This window comes from Homo sapiens, chromosome 10 (genome assembly GCF_000001405.40).
Source record: "Homo sapiens chromosome 10, GRCh38.p14 Primary Assembly".
Lineage (NCBI taxonomy): Eukaryota > Metazoa > Chordata > Mammalia > Primates > Hominidae > Homo > Homo sapiens.
Window position 1 is genome coordinate 112,514,684 of NC_000010.11, and position 25,432 is coordinate 112,540,115.

General features: G+C 34.2%; 1 protein-coding gene across 8 annotated transcripts in view, besides 1 other annotated feature; it reads left to right on the forward strand.

The window, feature by feature from the left end:
• Positions 1-25,432, forward strand: part of VTI1A (vesicle transport through interaction with t-SNAREs 1A) — a 408,381-nt gene that overhangs the window by 67,696 nt on the left and 315,253 nt on the right. For 4 of the 8 annotated variants that reach the window (NM_001365713.1, NM_001365711.1, NM_001365712.1 and 1 more), the window contains exons 4-6: positions 12,404-12,481; positions 18,847-18,867; positions 23,563-23,647. In NM_001365713.1, the coding sequence (NP_001352642.1) occupies positions 12,404-12,481; positions 18,847-18,867; positions 23,563-23,647 (184 nt within the window). The remainder of the gene's footprint in view (positions 1-12,403; positions 12,482-18,846; positions 18,868-23,562; positions 23,648-25,432) is intronic. The other 4 variants (NM_001318205.2, NM_145206.4, NM_001365714.1 and 1 more) reach the window with 1 other exon arrangement.
• Positions 16,573-16,622: an enhancer, noted in NCBI's record as "active region_4067". NCBI's record gives its function as "activates an Ori minimal core promoter by ATAC-STARR-seq in GM12878 lymphoblastoid cells {active_cell/tissue: GM12878}" and the evidence as "EXISTENCE:reporter gene assay evidence [ECO:0000049][PMID:35858748]".

Consider the following 25,432-nt stretch of genomic DNA (forward strand, 5'->3'; position numbering starts at 1 on the left):
GTATGTTGTTTCTTGTTTTTAAAGTAATATAATTTTATAACTTCCTTTGAAGTAAAAATGTTTTACTGTCAGATAGCTCTACTATTTAACAAAATGTAGCGGTAACTTGAAGCATTATATTTCACCTTGCCTTTGTCCTGTTACCTATTTTAACTACCAATAATGAGGTCCTTTTCATGCCTGTATATGGAGTATATCGTTTTTTGCAGTTGTTCTTTGGTAAAGTCTTGAGTCTTGACATAAGTCCCTGTTGCTGTAACGTGTAATGCTACAGGTTTACCAAGTGACATATTACAGAATTTTGCAAGCACTAAATTCTTATCTAATTTTAATATAAGAAAACATTTAAAAAATGTAAATATTTACATTTGAAAAATTGAATTAATTAGATTTGTTTAGAAAATTACATGGGTTCAAGTGAAGTTTTTGACCCTTACTTATTTTCTGTTTCAGCTTGATGCAGAGTCATAGGGCCAAATTTACATATTTGTTTGTTTCTCTTAAAGTAGTTTATGATTCCACAAGTCCAAGACTGGTTTTCACTGAAGGATTAGCTATAAAAGATCAGAATGAAGATATGGCTTATAGAAAGGGAACAGGATTCAACTCAAATAAACATAATGGAGGAAATTAATTTTTTTAGATATTGATGAGTAGACATATTATTTTCAATTGTGAAAATTATATTATTTTTTATTGATTTAATTATCAATTATCAATATCTTTAGTGTTTGATGTTAACATCAACTTTGAATAGATCAACTCTGAATATTCTTCCAGATAGCCTGAGATATAGTGTAACTGTGGTGAGGTCAATTTACTAGTTTTTGCTTGTTCTTTATGGATATTGAAGACATAGAGCCAGAATCAATTTAGGCCTAAGGAGAATTATGGTCTCACTCCTCAAATTGACTGTTTTGTGGGCAGAGGCACTACCTGCATTCCTGGAGGGACCATAGATCAGAGAACAGATTCAAAATGCAACATAATGTCACCTTCATCTAGCCACTGAATTTTGACTTGGAACTTCATTAGGCAGCCTCATTCTCCTCAGATAACAATTAATTCCTTTTTGTTTGTGGCTTTTTTTTGGTATGTTTATTAGTATTAGGCATACTATGTGCTTGGTTTATATTAGACTACAGCCAGAAAAACTATACAGAATTAGTTCCAAGAACATTTTTCTTCCTATAGCACCCACATACAAGATGTGCGATCTATAGTAATTCTTATTCATTTGAAATGCAGCAATTTGTTCCTGTCACTAGAGGATAGGATTGTTGTTTTAAATTGCTGTGTTTTGTTTTTGTTGGCATGTTCCCCAATACAAATTGAGTGGCTGACAAAAATCTATTTGTATGACAGTTCAATCTAGATAAGTGCCCTCTGTTGCCTAACAGTACAATTTGGGGTCTCAGAGATAAAAGCAAACTGAATGCCAGGCTTGTAGCGGAGCTTCTTGTGCAGATAACAGAGGTAATCCATATTCCTCAGGTCCACAAATCAGACAAACAAAGAAGAAATATGCATGCACATCATCTCATTTGAAATGGTGGTCTTTTAGTTTCTACATAATAAAAAATGGCAATATCTAACTCATGAGAACAATAAAACAACAGATATGAGATATGCCTATATTTGAAATTAAAGAAAAATGTGGTATTGACTTATAAAGTTGGAGAGTGGTCTGTTGCTTACCATTTTCCCATAGTATATTGGCTTTTGTTGAATATATTTGCTTTCTATTTTAATATTTCTATCCTGAAATAAGTTATATTTTTAGACAATTATTCATTTATAGCTTTGATATTCTGTTAGAAAAGGTATCTCCTTTTCTGCCCAAAATGAGGAGCTGAGACTTTGGACCTATTGGCTTACCTCTGCCAAAAACATGTCAGTCTTTCCATCCAAATATCTCCCAAATATAATTCATATATAAAAAGAAGGATGAGAAATATATGTTAATAACAGTTATAAAGAAAGAATGGGGACTAATGCATAAGATAACAAACATACTGGAAATAGAGCCAAGGGCCCCAGTTGTAGATATTCTGAAAAATAAGGGTTTAATTCATAGGGCCTGCTGATTGATTGGATTTGTGTAATGAAGGAGAGAGTGGGATAATTTTTAGGTTTTTATCTAAGAATACCATGTGCATGGTTATACTATCCATCATTAGGGAAAACAGGAGGTGGAGCATGCGGTAGGAGAAAGATAATATTCTACTTTGTCTGTGTTAAGCCTGAGATGCCTTTATATTATTTAAGGTACTCAATAGGAATTGGATTTGTAGTGGAATATGCAGAAAACATCTTTGCCAGCTCCTAGGTGATAGTTTGAACAATAGGTATGAATGAGATCACTCAGATGAGTGAGAAGTGGGCTAAGGACGGAGACCTAGGGGAACACCAGCATTCATGGGCAGATCGTGAGAGAAGTTACAATGAAGGAGACTAAGAAGGAGAGACTGAGAAAGAGAAGCACAATTCCTCCAAGGATAGGAGGAATTCAAAGGGAGTGTGGTGCTGAATCTGTTAAGGAGAAAGTGGGCAACAGTGTCAGGTACTATCAAGAGGTCAGACCTGAAAAAGGACTCAAAAGTGGCCATTGCAGCTAAAATTGGCACAATCTGAGCAACAAAAGAAATGAAGTAGTATTGGACGATAACCCAGAATATAATAAATAGCCATGATGCCAGACTGATATAAATAGATGATTGAGTAATGATTGAATAGACAAATCTCCTATGCAATAGAATGCCAAATAATTTATGTAGATACTCCGCCCTCAAGGGGGTGGAGCCTAATTCCCAACTCCTTACCTGTGAGCTAATGCATAGTGAGTACAACATGAAAAGAGGAAAAGGGTAACGTTACAGTGAATAAACTTGATAAACACTACCTCAGCCAAGTAATCAAGGTCAGCATCAACAGTGATGAGTCATGCTGATCGTATGTAGCTTCGATATGATCTGATCAAAGTGGCACTTTACTTCTGTGATCTCCCTCCGGAAAATATATGACTCCAATCTAGTCATGAGAAAAATATCAGGCAAATCCTAATTGAGGCACATTTTACAAAATACCTGAGCACCACTCCTCAGAACTGTCAAGGTCATCAAAAACAAATAAGTCTGAGAAACTACTACAGCCTAAGAAGTCATGACTACTAAATATAATGTGGAGTCTTGGATGGGATCCTGGAATACAAAATGAACGTTAGGTAAAAGCTAAGGAAATCTGAAAAAAAGGATGACTTTAATTAATAATAATGAATAATTTATTAATTGTGACAAACTGGGTGTGGGTTATATGGGAACTCTCTGCACTGTTGTTGTAAACTTTTTATAAATCTTAAACAATCATAAAATAAAAATTTCATTTATAAAACATGGCCAATAATTTTGACAACTAGGAAGTCATTGGTGATCTTTGGAAGACCTGCAGAGTGGTAGGAAGAAATCCAGTTTATAATAAGCTGAGAAATGACTGAGACATGAATAAATGGAGTTATTGCATGTAAAATAGTCTATTAACCCATTTATGCTGGAGGTTGCAAACTTTTTTCGTGAACAATCAGACCTTTGTGATGACCTTGAGCGGTAGGATATAAATAACTCCCACAAGCTTAGCGTTCCAATAATGGAACACTGGACATAAATGGGTTAAGAAGCTTGGCTAGGAAGGGAAGCATAAAGAGAGGATGGCATTTGCTGGGGGAGAGTAATGTAGAATGAAATAACTGCCAGGTGCTGTGGCTTATACCTGTAACCCCAGCACTTTGGGAGGCAGAGATAGGAGGATTGCTTAAGCCCAAGGAGTTCAAGGCCAGCCTGGGCAGCATGGTGAGACCTCATATCTCTTTCTCTCTCTCTCTCTCTCTCTCTCTCTCTCTCTCTCTCTCTCTATATATATATATATATATATATGTGTGTGTGTGTATGTGTATATATATGTGTATATACGTGTATATATATATATATATACACACACACACACATAACTTTTTAAAATGTGTAAAGCTGGGATACACTTAAAAGTGTTGATATACCTACCATAAAGGAAAGAACCAGTAGAGGGTGAAACATTGAAGATACTCAAGAAAACATTTAATTGATGAAGCGAAACATCTGAGTAGGCAAGATTTTATTTTATTCAACTGAAAATGGAGAATCTTTCAGGAAGAATATGTTATTTATGAATGAGGTATGAAGTTTCATATTCATTATATTTTGTTTTGGGTCACCCTAGTATAGAAGTAACCGTCAAAATGTTTTCATAGAAAATTTGGACTAAATTAATTTTCTTATATTGCCTAAACATCATAGTTTTATTGGCTATATCCATAAAACATTAAAAGACATTGTATATCTCTGAATTATGAACCCTATAACCTCACTATAACACAGCATAGTCTATAATAAAGAAACTGTCGCAACATGGGTCCAAAAGTAAGTACCAGGAAAATAGGTTATAAAAATTGTTTGCCTATGAGATGGCTGATTCCAATCTAGAATTTTGAAGTAACCAGGAGTTACCAGATTTTCTGAGTAAGCAAGCAGTTCTGAACACATCTTAATAGCTGGTGCGGCTCCTCTCTGAGCCATAGGTAGGCTATTGTTGCTTTATGGTACAGCCTTTGAAGATTAATCTTGAAACTTGTCTAAATAACACCCATAGGTGTGGTTATGACTCACCCTCTGAGATCAGATGCTTTATTCTATCAAATAAAACAGTTTACCTTAAGCATTTATCACCCTCGATCTTGATTGGTGTCCAATATTCTAGCTATTGATAGCAAAGAATAAAGGTTTGTTTGTTTGTTTTTAGAGAAGGGTGACCAGAAACAAAACCTTTAGACTAATTAGCTGATGATAAGTTGATAGAACTAGGTGAATCGTTCATCCAACCATGGCTTTGGAGAATGAAGGTAGGGGGACTCCAGCCTGTTGTGGCGGTGTAATAAAGTGAAAAGAACACTGGCATTGAGGAATGGGGTTCTGTCCTTGTTCTGCCTCATCTTTCCTAGCTCCGTGGCCTTGGATAGATCATTCATCTGGCTTAGAACCCCTTGTTTTTAAATTTGCAGCCTGATCTAGATGAAACCTCATGCGATAACTTAGGGTCAGTTACGGAGAATCCTCAGGATAACTTGTTCTTGGATGTTTAGATCACTTGAAACTGTGACTATGGACAGATTTTCAATGAATGACCCCTTTTCCTTCCCAATGCTAGGCAGATGATATAGAGAAACTAGCATTATAGGAATTAATTGTATACACTTATATACTTTGTTGCAGTAGTTTATTTTAAAATACAAATGAAGCATCTATTGCAAAACATTTATTTATCAGAGTAACATTTTCCAGTGGGGTGTATAGTGTATTTATAAATCATTAACAAAGAAAATAATAAACATTTTGATATTTTGATTATTTCAAGTAGAGTCTATGGAGTTATTTTATTTTACGTATCAAAAGACTTTAAAGGATGAGATTTCCTCCACTGCATACTTACACTATTCCAGATGCTGACAACAACATCTGGGCATTCTATCATGAGCTGATTTTCTGAATGAAGTAATTTAATTGTTGATTGACAAGCTAACATGATTTAAGACACAGCCACACCGTATTCAATAGCAGTGTCAAAAGTCATAAACTGCAAGCATATGCAAGCAAGTGGGGCCATGATACTAACTTATGTTGCCTTTTGAAACATTCATGCTAAATTTAAATTACAGGCTAAAGTTTAGAAATGCTGGAAGAGGAAATGAAGAACTGCAGTTACATAATTTCTGGGATCTCTGTTTTGCAAATCATTAAATGATACAGCAGCAATATGGGCAGAGTTCCTAATATAAATAAAAGTCTGTTGTAGCATTGTAAACATAGTTATTATTCCATATGGATTGCAAATGGGTTTTTTAGTCTCTATATGTGTGTGTGTGTGTGTGTGTGTGTGTATATATATATATATATATATATATAAAACCTCATGATATGCATATAAATATTCACATATGATATTATAGCTAAATTTTAAAAAGTAATTTAGGGGAAATGTGGTATAATTTATCTTATTGTTTATAGCCAAAACATAAATATCCATTCTGAACATGGAAAATGTGTTTGAAAGTATAAGCAAAAATAATAAATGAGAGTGATTACAATAAAAAGACAAAATTTTTTAAAACTAATTTTTAATTTTTTTTCTGGTGTTGCATACTAAAGAACAATGGATTATTTTGGCAGTCTCATGGTAACCTACTTTCCAGCTCTGTTGGTAGCCTTGCAGCAGGGTATGTTAGTATTTTTTCTCTGGTGGCTTGCATATGGTCCATTGCCCATGAGTTTATGATAGACACAAAGTGTGCTTTCCCTTTATTAATGCTACAGTATTGGTGACATGTGGCATGTGCACCTTCCAGCGAATGAGCTTGACCTTTAACTCTAAACAGTCCCTTGAGCAAGAGCAAGCCATACTTAGAGGAATGACTACATAGAAGAAACAGATTGGAACTTACTTTCTCTGATAGCATTAAAGAAATGCAGTAAAATTTTTTACTATTGGAAGCCATCCAAAAATTACACCACCATAAAATAAGGAATTGGGCAAAACAGTATGGTGGAATTACAGGATCTAAATAATACAGATTTTTAAAGCCATTTTTGGTATGTATTAGCAAATGATTTTTTAAGAAGGATGCATAATTTATACTTTCAGCCATGTATGCCTACTAGTTTTATTGCATCCTTTCCAGTATTATCAACTACAATTTAGTTGAACATGCTCTGGAGGTCATCATATACAAGGTGTTAGGGTAGGTTTGCATTTGTTTATAACATTTAAATCTTCACAACAGCCCTAGGAAATAAATACTATACCATTATTTTAGAGATGAAGAAACTGATGCTCAGAAAACTTAATTTGACCAAGATCACATACTGAAATGCTCTCTCTGTTCTTTTCATTTAGTACCCTGTGCTTTTCCATCCATCCTAACAATGTTCCAGGGATCAAACATATATCTAACAGTTTTCTTTACCTTTACCTAAGCCATGTAGTATGATACATGTTTTAACCTTAAATTGCTTTTTGCTAGAAATTAATACAACATGGAGAACACTGTGATAAACAAAAATTCATAAGTTCCATTTATTTTTTTTCTGGACTGTGTAAGCTTTCTGTCCTGGATTGATGAGCCTTTTTGAGTCCTGGTGCAGGGGTGGTGTGTGGCTGAAAAGCTGAAATTGTCCATGAGAAATAGAAGTGAGGCTAAAAATGGAACACTTGGTGCCAAAGATAGATGCATTTTAGAAAATGCCATCTGGGCATTACAGAAGTATGATATTATTTAATTAGAACCAGATAAAATTAGTTAAGAAATGAGTGCCAGCAATTATATGACTAACTAATCAATATAATTTCATGGTTTTCTGTAGATATCCCAAAGTGTTAATTATAACAGGAGCAGTTAAATTCTTTGGAGCAGTTAAATTCTTTGGCTATGAAAGCATGCAATTTTTAATAGATGTATCACCTGGTAACCTTGGGCATTATTAAATATATGGAGACTGAAAGACATGTAGAAGCAATGGAAAAGTCTGGCCAGACTGGGTAATTTGTTTTAGACCTATGGAGAAATCTATTAACCAATTCTTCTATAGACCCATTTGATTAGGAAGTAGGACAAGCTGTTCTTTCATTACTTACCAAAACCATACTGCACTCTGTATCAATTATTTGGCTGTCTGCAGCACATAGATTAGAATAAAGGGCTTGCTTAGTGTTTGTGAATGTTGCGGATTGCTGATTAGTAATTAAAGTGCTGAATGAAGAAAATTAGGCCAAAATCGAATGGGAATGAGAACGTCTTAATTCTGTGATACAGATGTTAGAAACAGATTGTCTTCAGCAGCCCCATTCAATGTACTGACATTCTACGTAGCCATCGAATATTTGCATCCCATGTAAAACTCAAGTCGAATGCCTTTTGAGATGGTTTCCTCTCCTATGCCTTGTGATGTAGCTGTGTGGGTATTAATTTAGTGAAATATCCTGTCTGCCAGGTGTGGGAACTAGCTGATTTTATTGTAATACCAGATCATTACTTAATTCATATGCAACAGAATACAGCACATGGAAAGCATTATAAATCTATTTACAATGTGGCTGGTCTGATGATAACATTGTATTAAATTCCCAGGTGAGGCAATTTAAGCAATTGCTTTGCCATGTGCACGCCATGGAAATTAAATTCTCATATACGCTTTAGTAATAAACCAACTTCATTGTTATGCTTTTGCTAGTTCTGGGCTGTAGAATCCTCATTCTGGTTACGTATACTCTATTTCACATGTAGAATCATACAGGAGGCGGTACCACAGATCACAGTTTTTAATTAGTTTAAGCTAAGTTAATTCGTTTTGTTTCTAATTTAGCAGTGCCTGTCCAGGAACACATTCAGTTCAGTTGGGAAATGTCAAGGCTTGGGTCAAGTAGAAAGATTGTTTCAAGCCAAATTTCCAGACAGAACTAAGCAAGTGTATCTGTTTGAACTTGGCTTTAAGAAAATCAGCCAATCAGTATGCAAAGGACCTGTTCATATACCAAGTAAAAATCGAAAATCGCCTTGAATCCGAAATTCTCGCATTCATAACTCACTTGTGTCATCAGTTTAAAATAGCCATTGAAACTTGTGCATCTAACTTCTTAGAGGTAACAATCAGTTGTTTATTTGTCATATTTTTTTCTATAGTTCATATACGATCTGTAGATTTTCTTTCTAACCATGTAGTCTACCAAAGTATGTAAGTTAGAAGAAGTAAACTTTACACAAACACACAATTAAAAGTGAGGAGTACTCTTGTATTTAACTCTGTGTATGTTGTGTGTGTGTGGGTGGCGGGGGGAGGCAAGTATTGTCAGCTGAAGCTTTTCTACTCTTATGGTACAGACCAGAAATTGCAGTAGATTACAAACTGCATAGAGCTTCTGTCTTCTCCAGAAGCCACATATAAAGCACCAGTAGACAGTGGTAACTGACAACTAAGACTAAAAATGTTGACAATTTCTTGATTTGCCTGGTTAGCTTATGTATAGAAGTCATTAACTATTTATAAAATGCATTATGAATTGGGTTCCTTCAAACTGTAGCTGAATGTGTGACATTTCCAGCTCAAATTCTCATGTTTGCATTTGGCTAAAGTACGAATTTTATACCGTTGATAATAAAGAAAAAATATTTTAGTGAAGTTTATCAAGATACAGTAAATGCTTCAGTTTTATTAACTTTGAATCTTCCAAATTAAATTATTGTGTAGGTACTTATTAATGTAGCATGGGTTTTTTTTTAATTCCATAAAAGGTAACATAACTTATTGATGTTTTAGAGGAAAATTATCCATAAAATAAGCAGTTTGTCATTCAAAGGATTTTCCCCCTTTTTTGGTATTCAGTTAGTTTAATGATGATCTTGCAGGCTAAGTTATGGTTGGGTACAATCAGCTTACTGAAAATTTTAAGTCGTGAAAAATTATGAGAAAATACCAATGTTGGGCATCTAAATATAATTAGTTTTTTTTAATAGTCTTGATTTGTTTTGTTTGGAAAATGAAACTCACATATAAAGAGTTCAGTTTTCAGCATTGTTGTGTCGTGCTCATGAGGAACTGTTTCTGATATTTGAAATGAGTCGTCTTTTCATTCTTTAGGAAAAGTCAGTCCTGTCAGAGAACACTTGGTTACACTCAGCATATCATTTACTTAATTATATCCAGAAAGCCATCCAAACAACCAGTTTTTACCATCCCAATGGTGAAGAATGACATTTATAGGGACCACCCTTCAACTGTGGATAAAGCCTTAGTTCTCCTCTGTTGCTGAGCATGTACACTCTTAATTGCTGGTTTTTAAAAGCGGTGGATTCTAACCAAAACAAGATTCGATATTTAGGGATACACATTTATAATTTTCTCCTTTTGAAGTATAGTAAATCAAAATAAGAGTATAATGTAATTGAACAATCTATGCCAATTTGTTGGTATTTTGGTGAAAAAAGGGAAAAACAAAAGCAATCTCCATATGATCCTCTTGCATACTGTGGAATGTTTTAGTCCCCCATAGTGATGAGATGAATAATTAAAAAGGCAGCTCTGATACCACAGCCTGTTTAAAGGTTCTCATTTCCTTTAATGCAGTAAAATACTTTTGCTTAGCTAGTTTGAAACTACTGTAGTAGGAACTCCAAATGAGCAAAGGCAAGCTTTGGCTTGATCTAAATATTGTATTAAGGCCATGAAGTGGACTGCCCTGATAATTTAGCATTTTTAAGTGCAATTCTGTATGAAGTCAATAGAAATAGCTAATTAATAATGGCTTCAGTAAATACAATAAGAGAACCAGGCTTAATATATGCTGTGTGCGATGGTCAAAAGTCTGGCATGTTCACAAATGACTGAGTTGGGTCACTACTGAATTGTCGAGCGATCTGATGTAGATATCTTTACTGACTTCATGCTGAGGACTTGACTTCTTTACTCTGTCCTCCTCTCTGCAACGTTGTTGATTTTATTTATCTACTTAGAGACTTACTGCAGAAGTCAAGGTATAAGATATGCATTTGTGCAGCGAAATGGGGTTTAGGGTGGAGACTCAGGGCGGGGAGTGGATGCCACTGTCTCCTTAATATCAAAACATTTTGCAATTCTTGTGCCTTTTTCCTGAGTCACTCTAAAGGTAATAGAATGAAGAGGAACTTTTGTGTGGTAGAATGAGCACTGAGCTGTGAGTCAGGACCCCAGTGTTCCAGTGTCAGTTTAACCAGAGCTACCTTTAGAATTCCATGAAACTTACTTTTTTCCCTAAAAAGCAAAGGAATGTCTAGGTTTATTTATTTTTATTTCTATTCAGCCTTTTCAACTGGGTTCTGCCAGAGACTTAAGACTTGTCTTCAAATATATGTAATGAACTAAATTTTTTTCTTATGTACCATCCTTGGGAGAATTGATAAACATAGTTACTGAAATAATTTTCTGTGTTTTGTGGTTAAGATAATTGGGAAAAGTTGTAACTTCAGAATGATTTAAAGTCTATTGGTTGTTCTTGTCTAAGGTTCTTTTCCATTCAAATGTAATACGTTTGATGTTTAAGGTATTATGATCTCTATGTGGTCAAGCAGTGTCGCTTATTCACTAGTTTAAAATCTAATTTAAAAATCATATTGTTGACATCTGCTCTGGAATTATTGATAGTCCTTTTAAACTACAATACTTTTTCAGATCACAGTTGAACAAGTAAGAAATTTTAAGTCCCAAACTCTAGACCCCCAAGTGAGGAAGAGATTACTGTTTTCCAGCTGCCATTTTTTAATGGAGTAGTTTTCTTAGTGAATTCTGAAGCAGGAAAGACAACAAAGTAACTTGCAAATCTGAATTTAGGTCTGAAATAGTGACGCTGAAGTGGGATCTGAGGCCCACACTTTAGCTTCCCAACGAATTTTCAGTCTTTTGGCTTTTCCAAATGTGTATACATTTAGATAATTCATGAATTGCTTGCAGACATGTCCCTCTGACTTTATAGAGAGGGGTATATTTCTTGTAAAACACATTTTCAGGGTGTGAAACATTGACTCATAGCCCACTTGTCTTTATTTACTGGGACTGTGAAAAGTTGACTCATAGCCTACTTGCCTTTATTTACTGTGACTGAGAAATTTAGTTTCTTTTACCAGACACACACATGTACGCATGCATGCACACATGCACACACACACTTTCATTACTTTTCCTTAGGCCATTATTTATAGAGAGCTGGGAGACATTTAAATTATTGTTTGTACAGGGGAGGGGCTTTAAATTCTCTCTCTTTCTGGTTAGTAGCATCACAATAATGAAAGAAATATAGACGTGCTATTCTAGGCATTGCAGAGTATAGTTGGAGATATAATTATTATCCTAGTATTAGAGACTTTTAAAGTGCTAAATTGAAAGCTTTGTAATGTCCATTTCCTGCCACAATATTGAAAAAAAAAAACATATACTCCTGTCTTAAGTACAATCTAGTGAGTTTTACAGACATGCAGTTATATAGCTGTATTTCTTTCAGCTTAGTGGTCTTATTTGAATGGCGATGTATGGAACTATATACAAGTTCAGATGCGTTTATGAATAGAATACACAATGCAGAGTTTCCTTTCATTATTGGCATCTTATAAACTTCTAATTTACATGAAACTTATGAAGTTCAGGAACTTTACACAACTTTGGTGTGCAGATTGTAGCCAATAGGTTTCCATTAGGGGGCTCTCGAGGTTTGAGATCAGCCTTGATACCAATAAAGCTTGGAAGCTTTTACTTTCTAACGTTCCTCTCACTCTCTCCCTTTTTGTTTTGTTTTATAGAAAAGGTCACGGATCGCCTACAGTGACGAAGTACGGAATGAGCTCCTGGGGGATGATGGGAATTCCTCAGAGAACCAGGTAGAATGCTAATCAGGAAGGCCCGGTGGGTGGCTGGAGGGTGAAGGAGGTCACTGGCGCACTGGGCTCTCAAGCTGCTCCTTAACGGTATTAGCAGCAACTCATGTGGAAGCGATACTGTTTAATGCAAAGCTGGAGTCTTAATCAACTTCAAAATGTTTCTTGGAGATCTTACATTTAACCCTTTACCTTGTGATCACTGTCTGCTATCTTTTAAAAAAATCTTTTCTTCTCTTTTCTTTATTATTTAGTACTTAAGGAATAACTTGAAACACACCGTTTGCAGACAAAGCCAAGGTCTTCACCTCAAACACATGTAAAAGGAATAAAAAAGTACATAATACAGCTTTGATAATAATGCAGTATAATTAAATCAACACTTGCAGCAAAACAAATGAAAGTAAGCTTTCAAAATTCAACAGGGCAGCCCAATCTCCTATTGTGTGGCTTCTTAAAAATACATTCACCAAAATGCAAATTGGAAGCACCAGTGTGGAACTTGGATACCCATACAGAGGAACTGCTTCTGTCAAATAATAGTCATAATAATAATAATAATAATAATAATAATAATAGGATAAGTCTTTTTGCAGTTTAAGATCTGCGTAGGCCAAAAAATAAGATACAGTTTCTTCTTAAAAGAGCTTTACAACTTGGCTGTCGGTTCTCATTGGATCATACCGTAGTGTCATGAGTCTAATTAATGTCCCGCCTCTTTCTTTGAATTAATACTACAGACTTCATTAATTCATGTAGATACTATATACAACTTTAAAAAAAGTTTTAAGAACCTCATTGTAGAAATGACTTTAAAAATGCCTCAAAAAAGCCCTAATGACTGATTTTCTTTGACACTTTTAAAGAAAATACATGATAGGGACCTTCAGAAACAAGACCTGAACATGGTTACTAATGCCACTTTGGCAAGTAGTATAAAAGTCTCTACTCTGCCTAAATGAAAATGAACATAAATCAGTCACTGAGTAAACCAAAATTTTAATAGGATAGTGAAACCTAATATATTGATACATATTATAAAAATTGCATAATTGTATTTACCATCTCAAATAGATGATATTATAGGTCCATATATGCTAATAGTATTTGCTATCTATTATACTATAATCTGTAACAGGGATGTTGTTTGTGTGATTAAGGACTCTACTCACCCACCCCCAAAAAAGAGAGAAGAATGACTGAGCTGATTATGTTTGTTTTTGGAAAGATGTCACCTCCTCCACTATTTGGATGTTATCAGCTTGAGTTCAGACATGTGAACACGTTCAGATTTGACTTGGGATTTCAGCTTCCCTGATTGAAATGTGAGAATAGCTAAAGGAAAAAAAAAATAGCACATCAAACATAAAAGGGTGATGTGATAAAGGGGCTTTACTCATAATAGATTAAATAATGTGAGGATGAGAGAAAAAATATTTTCTTCTGTTTTTAAAGTGAGATTTAGATTGCTCATACCTCTTGAAAATGAGTGAATCATAATTTTATTTCCTATCTACTGCAAAAAACACTATCTTTTTTGCAAAAAAGTGAATGCGTAGTTCCCATGTCAGTTCTTTAAACAGCTATAGATCTTTCCCTCATTTGAAACTACTGCCTAATGCAGAGGAAATAGAAAGGAAGGGGGTGTGCCTGTCTAACTCAGACTCCTTTATCGTAATGGATGTTGTAGTTCTATGATAGGGATCCCTTTTTTTTCAAACGTGTTCACTTCTCTTAATGGACATTTTATATGCCTAAAACATTTGCCTTGCGTACATATAAGTATGATTTTTATGCCTAAAGAAAACTGTTCCACAAAAATAGATTGAGTTCATATTTTCTGAATTTTTCAAATTATATTCCTGTCACCTTAAAGTGATTATGCAGAGATTTCCCCTGGACTTGTATAAATCAAACTTACAAATTCTGAAAGTGCTTGGAGAACCTGAAGTTTACATGTAAGGAACTGTCACTTCAATAAATAGAGTATGATAAATTATAGTCATGAGAATATGTACTGTTAGATTATTACTTGTGTGAAGTTTTCCATCTAAAATTTGATTGAGGTGTAAAAGTTCAAAGAGACCACACTGAACGTTTTGGATATTTCGTTACCAAATGTAGCAAAGTTTCCATTTCATATGAAGTCATTGCATTTTGTTTTAAGGCTCTTTGTCATAATATAGGAATTAAAATCCCTCAAACTAAAACACATCCTTAACTAGGTATGGTCACTTGAGAATAACTTTTTTATTCCGCATCAGCATTCATTCAGAATATGGAGTCAAAACGGAAGCTCTTTCTGTAAAGAAAGAAAATATTTTAATTTGGCTCTATACTAATCTTTGTAGCTCAGTAGCTAGGAAGAGTTTTTTTCTAGGTAGGGCTGCTTATAATTTATATAAGAAAAGGTCTTCTGCCTACAAATAAGTTTACTTCTAAGTTATTTGCTAATAAATTGATTTTCAGAACTTCTTATCCATGGAATACTAACTATATAAATGGATAAAACTTGGAGATAAACAAAATGAGATAAAAATAGCAATATTCATTTAATTGCAATTGGGATATACCTGTCAGTTTAAAAATATAGATCAAAATAGGAAAATAAGGAATTAATAGCAATGATTATATAGGTAAAATACTGGCTAGGTATTTTCAATGTAACATACACATCCTCCTTATAGTTGCTTCTTTGTGAAGATTCGATAATATGAATACAATAGCTATTATTTCTCATTCTGATAATTTATGATGCAGTTTTTTTAGGCATCTGAAACCTGACTGTAATACATATAATTATAGTCTGCCAATTAACTATAAAGTATGTTAATTTACTCTTAGGTACATAAACATTTCTGCCATGATTAGAAATGTTAAAAATTCAGAAATTAAGAATTTTTCAAAAGCATTTTTAATGTCCCTCATACAATACCCTTTGCATTTAATTCCAAATTAAATGCTTTGTATACATTCATTTCTGATTCATATTCATTTCATTCAATCAAATATAGCTAATGCTGATTTACAAAGAAGGGGCAAGAAAATTACCTACTTTGTACATTTGAGTACTTTTGGGCTATCAGCTTTCCAAGGATTACTGTCTTAAGCATTATCATTCTATTCTTTGAAAATACCGTATTTACCATTCCATGTGGCAACATTTTATTTCTTTGAAAGAGTTGAGTTCTTGAATGTAGTGATGTTGTATTTAGAGTGGAAACATTAATAGTTCATAACTTGATTGCATTTCATGAGAACCATTCTCATAAAAGGAAAAACACAACTTATAGAATAAAATCATAAAGCCTTTCATAGTGAAGTGTGATAATGGGGCAAATAAACTGTTCCAAGCTTTGATTTTGAACCCTAATACTCTCTCAGTTTCTATATGCAGAATTATATTGATCAGTGACTTTTAATAAATCCTAAATAGAAGATTCAAAATATAAAGAGTAGACTATTTCCAAATGTGGGGAAAGTTTTGTGGCAAAGCAATATTTAGCAGATAATGATTGCTTAATTTCTTAATACAAGGTTCTCTTAAGTTCTGATTTGGGCTTGCTGTGCATAAAGTGTGTCAAACTTCAGCTACAGACCAGGGGGTGAAGTCGGTCAATTTAATTCCCCAAGATCTAAAGAAGGTCGGTATCATTTCATATAGCCCTGGCAGAGCAGATCATTACCAGGCACAAATCTGTTCGTTACGTGCTGAGGGTTTATAGCAAAATAAATAGACTGTCATCATAAGTTCAGAAAATTGTGTGTTCGACCCACGATAATGTGTAAAGGGCGTTTAATAGAGTTCAGCATTTATTCGTTATCTGTATGCGAACAGAGACAGCAGTCGCGTTATCAGCTTTAAAAAAAATTCGGTAGTTCTGGGGTCACGTGACACACCTCACACACACACACACACACACACACACACACACACACACACGTGCGCACGTGCGCGCGCGCGCATGAACCCTCACATGCTCTGCAGTGCAGTTTTGATTTTAGTCACAGCAGAAGGCTTAACCACAAGAGATTCCACTGGTTCAAACCAGCGTAAACCAGATTTTTTCAGCCCACAAAGGAACAGATTACCTCTTGTATCAAATTCTGCATTGGGGGAAAAAAAATCTTTGTTTCAGAAAAGATGTTGATTATCATAACTCAACATGGTGGCATTGCACACTCTCATGTTGCCTATGATGGAGCTAGTAACTCGAGAAAATACGAAATCACGACTTACAGTCCAGTCTACGCATTGTTAATTTTCAGAAATAGGCCATCTTTTGTTTACTTGAATGAATAACTCCCGGCCTAAGCAAAGAAAAAAAAAAAAAAGAAAAAAGATAAAGATGAAAAACCCTCCCATTACCTAGCTTGGCTACAAATCCGATGTAGAGCTTGAATGCAGCCATGCAGCACAAACAAGATAGAACGTTTTTTGTTTGGAACCTATTGAAAAAACAAATGGGTAGCATTTTTAAACACTCATTGATTATGGCAGGGTGGCATGCCCCAAATGGTCTCTATTGCTGAAGAGTAGTTTTAAACTTTGGCCCTTTAAGTATCATAGTCAACCAAAGAATAGTGCCCCCAGAAAGAAAAGATCGCTGGCCGATCAATTCCCAGATCGTCTCTTTCTGAGAATTAATGTTTGCCTTTTTCTCCCATGATGTTGGGATAGCAAAGAGAAAGATTCCGATATATGATAGGCCAGGTATTTTAGCTTAAAATTTTGCTTCTTCTGGGGAAGAATTATAACTTTTCATGTGAAATGAAAAGATGATTTACTTGTATGTAACTGGATGGTTGCTGAGTGTGTTAATTAAAAATAAAGAAAGCTTCTTATTTTGAAACGATGATAATAAAGGTTTCATTTTCACTGAATGTACTGTGAGACATTACATGATAACTTATGTACCCTTTTTATAAAGATTCTTAACAGTTTTTAAAATCTTATTCTTTGGTACTCAAAATACTTTTCATATAACAAATGAAATAACAGAATAAGCTGGAATGCATACTGCCTTCCTTGAATTCGGGACAAAAACAGCGTTAAGCATTGAGATATCCGGGCTATAGTAAACATGATACTTACAGAGACTTATAGTGAACAATTCAGGCACATTTCTCCCAAAGCAATAGTTTAATTTATTGACCTGCATATGTCAAGTGTTATAACAGATGTTACAGATATTTGGATGTTTAAAAATTATCAGTCGTAGACCTGAATTGCTGAGGATGCAAATTTCAGACCTAGAATGTGGTTTAGTCTGTTACAACATAGGTTTCAGTTTCTAGTCATTGCAGAAACTGTGGTCGTCATCTCACTTATACAGTGATATTTGTAGTTTAGAATAATGTCAAACACACACACACCCACACGTACACACAATGAGCCAGATATATGGTTATATATTTTAGTTCCTAAAGAGTTAAACAGCTTGTTTTATCTGTTATATTTAAGGTAAATAGAAAAATGTTCTAAATAAGAGAATTAAAATGTTATCATAGGATAATTTACTAAGAAGTAAGGAGTGATTTTTTATTTGACTTTAGTGAAAACAAAACTGCAATATAAATGAAGTAAGAGCTCATTGCCAGTTTACAATATGAAGAAAATTGAAAACTGAAGAAATCATTCAAAAATTAAAATGAAAACATGCCACATGATTGTGGTAGCCTCTTAAGCAAAATAAAAATGTAGAAATTGACTCTTACATACACAGAAGTTCATATGATCGTGAATTTTTGATACTATGATCTAAATAAGTATTATCTCTCCTGGCATACTTTATTTTCTATTAAAATAACATTACTTCCAAATGCAGTCTTATTACTAGAGTGGGTACAAGTATAACATTAACTAACATAATAGTTTGTTGTTTTAAATACTTACTGGAACCAAAGCATGAGCTATTAATCATTTTCATTTGTAGGTAAAATCTGAAATCAGTTGTCAAGATTCCAAATAGGGAAACATCCTGAAAACTTGTATATACAAAACCTCTTCAATGGTACATTCTTAGAAGAGAGGAACAGTAAACTTGTTTTCTTTCTTTATAATATAGACTTCTATGAAGTCGTTCCCCTTTATTTCATGATGGTGTCTTAGATGTACTTTAAAAGAGAATTTCACACTATTCTCTTTGTTTAATGTGACAGTGTGAGAAAGTGATCTTTATTCGTTCAAAAAACTCTGCATGTAGTCTATGTTTAGGTTCTTTTAATGTGTTTGTCTGTGATTTTTAAATGCTAAACATGTAAACAGATAAATTGTCAATGTTAATTCTGTATCCTGTCAGACAACTGATCTTTCTTTCCTGCCATTTCTTTCCTTTTTATCTTTTTTTTGTGCATTCATGTTGCAGTTGATAAAATTACGTGAAGAGGTGAGTACTTCCTAGCTTCTTTTTTTTTTTTAATTCTGCTTTTCCCTATAAAATTGAGTTTTTAAATCTGAAGTGGATCTTTGGATTTGTTTTTCCAGGTAAATCTATACATAGCAAAAAGTATCATTTATATTGTTCAGAAATCTTTTCTGCTCACCATCTTTTAAAACACAACTATATCCTAATCATGCTTATCTCAGGGATCATTGTTCTTTGTTGGAACTGGGACAAAGTTAATACTTTAAAGGCCAAAAAAAAGGAGGAATAATAAAGGAATATCTTAAAACTCTACCTGAGTGTAGTTTTATTGTAGGCTGTAACTTCAAGTTTATTTATGTAGTTTCTCAAAGAAGCTAGTATGATTTTTTTTTTCTAACATTCTGATTTACTTTACTGTAAACTGTTCTTAAATAAACTCCTTTCCCCCACCCAAAATTATTGGGTTTAACATAAGACACCATGGATGTATTATCCTTTTGGGGAAACACACATATGTTATAAATGCCCTGCTACTCTGTGTACATAGATACCTAAGAATAGCCAAAGCTTTCGTCATTGTTAAACACTTTGCTTTTTGTAGCATGCAGCACCCAAGTGAGTTCTCATTTTTCTGAGTTTGCTGGACTGTTTCATAATGCAACTCCAGATTTTTTTGTGTGTGGCTCAGCAAATATTTACTGCAATGTTTATAATTGTATCCTTGTATTAATGAGGGATGCTGAATAATTCTATTTTTAAAAAATTAAGTCAAACATATCAAACATGCTTTGGTACTCTTTTTTAGAGATAGTCATATTTTTTATTTAGTAAGATTGGGTTTTATTTTTCTATTAAGACATAATGGCCTATATTGCAATTTAAAAATTGTCTAATTGCTTATAGTATAGAGTAGTATGAATTACTTTTGAGTTTAATTTGACTGCATTGATTGAGAATTCTCTAGAATTTTTTTTATTGGTATGTCATCATTCTCTAGGTGATACAGATGTTAATTTAGAAGCTTCTAGATAGTGTTTTTCAACAACTCTTTGAATTTAAGATGCATTACTGATGTCCTCCCTCAGAAAAAGTAATAATGATATATAAAATGAAGGGGAAAAATATACAAAAACCCTCGCCCTCCAACCTTTTTGTGTTTTTTATCTTCCCTACAGGGGAGCAGTTGTATATATACACTAAATGAATATAATCAGTTGCAGTTTTGATGTATAAGATTATTCTTGAGGTGAGGGATAACATAAATATTATTTTTCTGCAAGATAGAGTATGTGCTTGTTGTATTTGCATATATTCATGTTTAGGTGAAGAATCTGAATTTTCAAATGTTAATGGAACTAACAATTGACTTGAAAACCTCTATACGAAGAAACTACGTGAAGCCCTTGCCCCTGAATTTAAGCAATGAGTATTGTTTATGTATTAAATTGTGGCTTATTGCAATCAACATTTTTGACAGAAGATTTATTTTTGTTAAGCCTAATTGTGTCAAATTAGAAGTCTTAATTCCAAAAACTTAAAGCATCACGTCTGCATTTCTTTTAAAATATTTTTTATTTTTGTTTGATGGCTTATTTCTTTTCTTATGCCTGTAGCAGCAGTTTCATCAGTTATGATTCTGGAATTCATGTTTCTGAAACTGTAACATGTAATTGAATTATAATTGGAAAAATTAGATTAATCAACTAACAGAATAATATACTCTGAAATATTCTTTTAACAGTCTTTGATATAGATCTAGCATTGATATTTATAGACTAGATTACAGTGATGATGCTGCATTGGTATATGGCTTGCTGAGGAGTGATTATTTCTCAGTTGGGATTCTAATAGTAATCATAGAGAGAATGTTACCCCCATGTTTCTTAACTTGCAACTGTGCTAAGAAGACAAGCACTCAGCTGCTCCAAAATGTGTTTTGTTTCGCTTGGAAACAAAAATATGCCCCTTCTCTTCCTTGTGTTGCTCTTTCTGGGCTCAGTTTTGGAAAGGGAGCATGCTTGGAGGCAGGGTTGTAGTGCATAGGGAGCTGATCTGGTGTTGGCTCTGCCGAGCTCCGTTTGAATCCTACATCTCCAGCTCTCCACATTGCGCAGCTCCTCACACAAGTTGAGCTCTGTCTGAAGCTCCTGCACAGCTTCACTTACCTGCTTTGAAAAGGGCTGAGAAGAGGGTGAGAGAATGAGTTTGGGATGGAGTGTGGGGGCAAGTTGAAAGCATCAGCTGCTACTGTAGTGTATTTCCTTTCATTTACAGAGACCAGGGCAATGTACAACTAAGGGAACAATGTAAATAGTGCAGCTGTTTCAAGAACTTGATTTTAGTTTGACTTAAGTGAAGAGGTTCCAAAATAGAAAGTGAAATCCTGCTGTAAAGCTGCTGATAAACTGATAGTCCTCTTGTGTGCAGATTTACTCTGATAAAATTGAACTGTTCTGAAGAAGAGTTACTTCTATTATTCAGTAATATACATATTTTTAAAGGTCTTTCAGAAATTTTGCTATTATAACCATGAAATCCCCCTAGTTATTTTACATTTAAATGCTTTATTTCCTACATTAAATATTATTATAAAAGTGGAAGTCCATTTCCAGTATTGATCTTTGTTTTTTTGTAAATCTCTAATAACTAAATGTTTTCTTTTAATTTTGGGATTTCATCCAATATGAAAATGAACCAAAGATATTTGTTGTCTTATTCTGGATTAAAATTCAGATTTACTTTTGATTTCACAGATCTGATTGATATCTTTTTAGAGAATCACCAGTTTGCAGTTAAGTCCTTTGTTAAGGTAGAAAACAATTTTCAAGGAAGGGAAGAGCAATCCTTACTCCCAGAACCTGCACATAGGGAAACTTAGGAATAAGAAAGCTATTTTTGACAAGCCTTAGTAAAGTGTTTAATTTTATTTAAAAATAGTCATCAATGCCAGACACACAGAGCTCCCCTTTCTCTTCTTTTTCTTAATTACAGCCTTCAGTGATTTTGCTTTTTAATGATACAAGAAGCTTTCCTCTCTGTTTTATTTATTTATATTTATATTTTTTTTTTGCAGAGGGAGGGGACAATTTTTCTCTTAATATCTCTGCTGTACATTGGACGACTCTATTAATTATGATAGACTGTTGTTGCAGCTTCCTGACCTTCACATCAGGTCCTATCTCTCTGTTCTAAATGCATTGTTTTAATGATTCTCACCCCCCCACCCTTCCCCCCAAAAAAATTTCAAGGAAAGCTTTGATGTGGCTTTAGCTGCCTCCAACGTCTGGCCGCATCTCAGATGTGTCACCTATGCCGGGAGGGAATAAGGAAATCACGTTGTGAATGGTAATGATAACATACTAATCACTTCCTTTCTTTGAAGATGGAAGCGAGATATTCTGTCAGCATCCCTGGCTGCTAGAGCTTGGAGGCACTGGTCTAGGTGTATTAGCTTAAGTGTGCATGTCAATACAGCTTGCATCTCCAAGATCCATGGGGGCTCATTAGAGCAAGGTAGATCGTTTCGCTCGACAGCCACTCAGATAATATGTGTGGCACCTCCTTTTTTATTATTATTAGAAAGCATTTCTCCAATTTTAAATGACATCTGTCAACAACACAAAGTTGTAGGAGTTGTGGTTGTGTTTTTTCTTTCTTTTTGACCAGATACCAAAACTGATTTGAGAAGGGAAGATATTAACGTATGCAGATACATGTATGCATGTACACACACACGCACACACACACAGATACATACATTTATATATTTCTAAGTATCTAGGTATATATATATATATATATATATATATCTGTATCAGTTTTTATCCATTCATAGCCATGATTAGATTATAAATCTGTTTGGCAACCTGAATAGATCTAATGTATGATCATTATGGTTACAAAAAAAATCAACAACAACCATCTCAATGGAGGAAAGAAAGTTTAGAAGCTGAGGATTTGAAGAAAATCCTCTAATTTCCCCATCAGATAAATATAAAAGAGGTATATATAATTACTGTAAATTTAGTTCACAGTCTAAAGCACTGTGTGTTAAAATATCAACATCAATCTACATAGTGCCATATATTTAGGAACAAATGCACAATATTGTACATCTATGTAAATGGAGAAACATGTGTCTCTTGTTTCTTAGTGTTGCCTCCAGTTGTCTGAAAAGTAGAAGTGCTGTTTAGTATTCTGTCTTAGTAGCATATGCTGTTCTATATAGCATCTTGCTGCACATCCAAAATTATGGATCATTTTCTTACAAATAAAGTTCCTGTTTTAAAATTTCTATCTGCAAGAATCAAAGGAGCAAATGGATCTTTGAAATGATTGCATTTTATAAAAAATAAATACAAATAGGGAACGTAGATCTATGCAAGTATCTCATATATCCATCTCTGCTGAAACAGCAAAGATCCAGTTGGGTATGGTCTTCGTACTTTTCTCAGTATTTTGAAGTAAGATTCATTGTGGCCACATACAACACGAGTCTCCTTTTAAAAACACGAAGTGGATGGTCCATACGTGATTGCTGGAAATCTGTCTATGGTAGTGGTTCCTATAATGGAAAATTTGCTAAAAATTAACTGTAATGGGTTGCGAACCCCCCCACCCCATGTTAGGGCATACGAAGGCATTTTTTTTTTAAGGCAAAAAAAAGAACATTGTAGACGGCCGTCTGATTTTTTTTTCCCCCTTTTTCTTTTTCAGAGGGCACATCTGCTCGATAACACAGAGAGGCTGGAAAGGTCATCTCGGAGACTAGAGGCTGGATACCAAATAGCAGTGGAAACCGGTAAGAATTCTGAGAGTGAGCAAATTGTCTTGCTTATGCACAGCAGTCTTCACAACACATGACATTTCAGGGAAACTTCAAAGGAGTAGCAGAGACAGCAGCCCGAGATGTGGTTTACATATTGGGGAGACAATTGGGAGCTTATTTGCGCTTATCTTTTTTCAAGTTAAAAGGCATGACATCTACTGAAAACAGTTCCTGAGGTTTAAAAGTATACATCTGAAAAGAGATGGAATACTTTGTCTAAATTCTACATTTGTCTTAATATGCAGTTACATGTTGTCAGTTTACCCACCCGCAATGATTGCTAGCACATGGCGCAATCTCCAGTTTGCTCCTTTACGTTTTATTCACATATGTAAAAATTAACATTTTAATCAATCTAAATCATGTGAACTAGGGACAAAGAAATAACAATACCCACTTTACTTTGCATATTTGTCCTGGTGTTGGAAATGATTCCTAATAATCCTGTTTAAAAAAAAAAATCATGAATAGAGCCTATAATCAGATACGAAAATTATGAAAAAGTCATAGCAAGGAGTAAGGCTAATGTTCATGATAATCTTATTAGCATTAGTTAATGCTCTTCAAACTTTTGGTTTGAATTAATACCAGTTATTAATTTCAGAAAACATAATCTTAGTATGACTTCTAAAATCAGTCTACTTAAAATGAACATGCTTTTTTGTTATAAATGTTTCATGCAATGACTGTTTGTCTCCAGAGTAAATAAATATCCATTAACACCTTAGTAGTCATCAGTTTCTTACTGTTACTCTACGCTTTTTATTTTGTTTTGTCAAGCATAGATTGTAAATAATCTATTTTGTGTATTTTGGATAGCTCTTGCCCAATGTGTAAACCACAAAAATATGTAATCAACAATGTTTTTATCAATTTTTAAAGATTTAGAGTCATAGAAATGTTTATTTTGTAAGAACAGGTATGATGAAAATGATTCCAAATAATTTCTTTTATGAATGGCCAGTGTTTTTCTTGTCCTGTGTTCATGGCTGCCCTATATTGGTTGGTTAATGTGATGAATTCTAGGCAACCAAACAGGAAGAATACAAACAACTTTGGCATTATATTAATAGTGAAAAAACTAAAGAAAACCACAAACCTTCCCAGATTTAATAGTTATGGACAGCCCTTCATCCTGAGGTAATTGATAGATTGGCTTTCTGCCCGGATTGGAATAAAAGCCAGCTTTTGTGTGTTCTTTTTGTTTGGGAGCTCATCTTTAGAGGTGACTGTTCTTGGGAAGAATGTGAATAATGGAAAGAGCCTTGAACATGAAGTCAGAGGACCAGGCTTGGGTTCTAGCTCTTGTTTGTGTGACCTTGAGGAGATCACGTAACCTCGCTGAGCCTCAGTTTCTTCTTCAATAACATGGAAATAATATTGCCTATCTCCAAACATTCTTAAGAAAAAATGGTACATGTAAAAATGTTTTATATACCAAAAAACACATATACAAATATAAATATTATTATTATTGTGTGGTCATTGACGATCTACAGGCATTTATCTTTATCTCCTAGAAGATAACTTTTATTATGATTGAAATTTATAAATAGTAAAGGAATAGAAAACAAAATGTGTTACTTTGACAATCCTTGGGGAACATAGCACTGTGTCTATGGAATATGACCATAATCACAGGGACCTTCCTTGACAAAACATCCATTGGTCAGCCTCTTTCCACATGGGGCTGGTTCAGACTCAGGGGGTCTTCTCGTCGTGACACTGATCACAAGGCTTGCTTTGGTTGATTGGGCT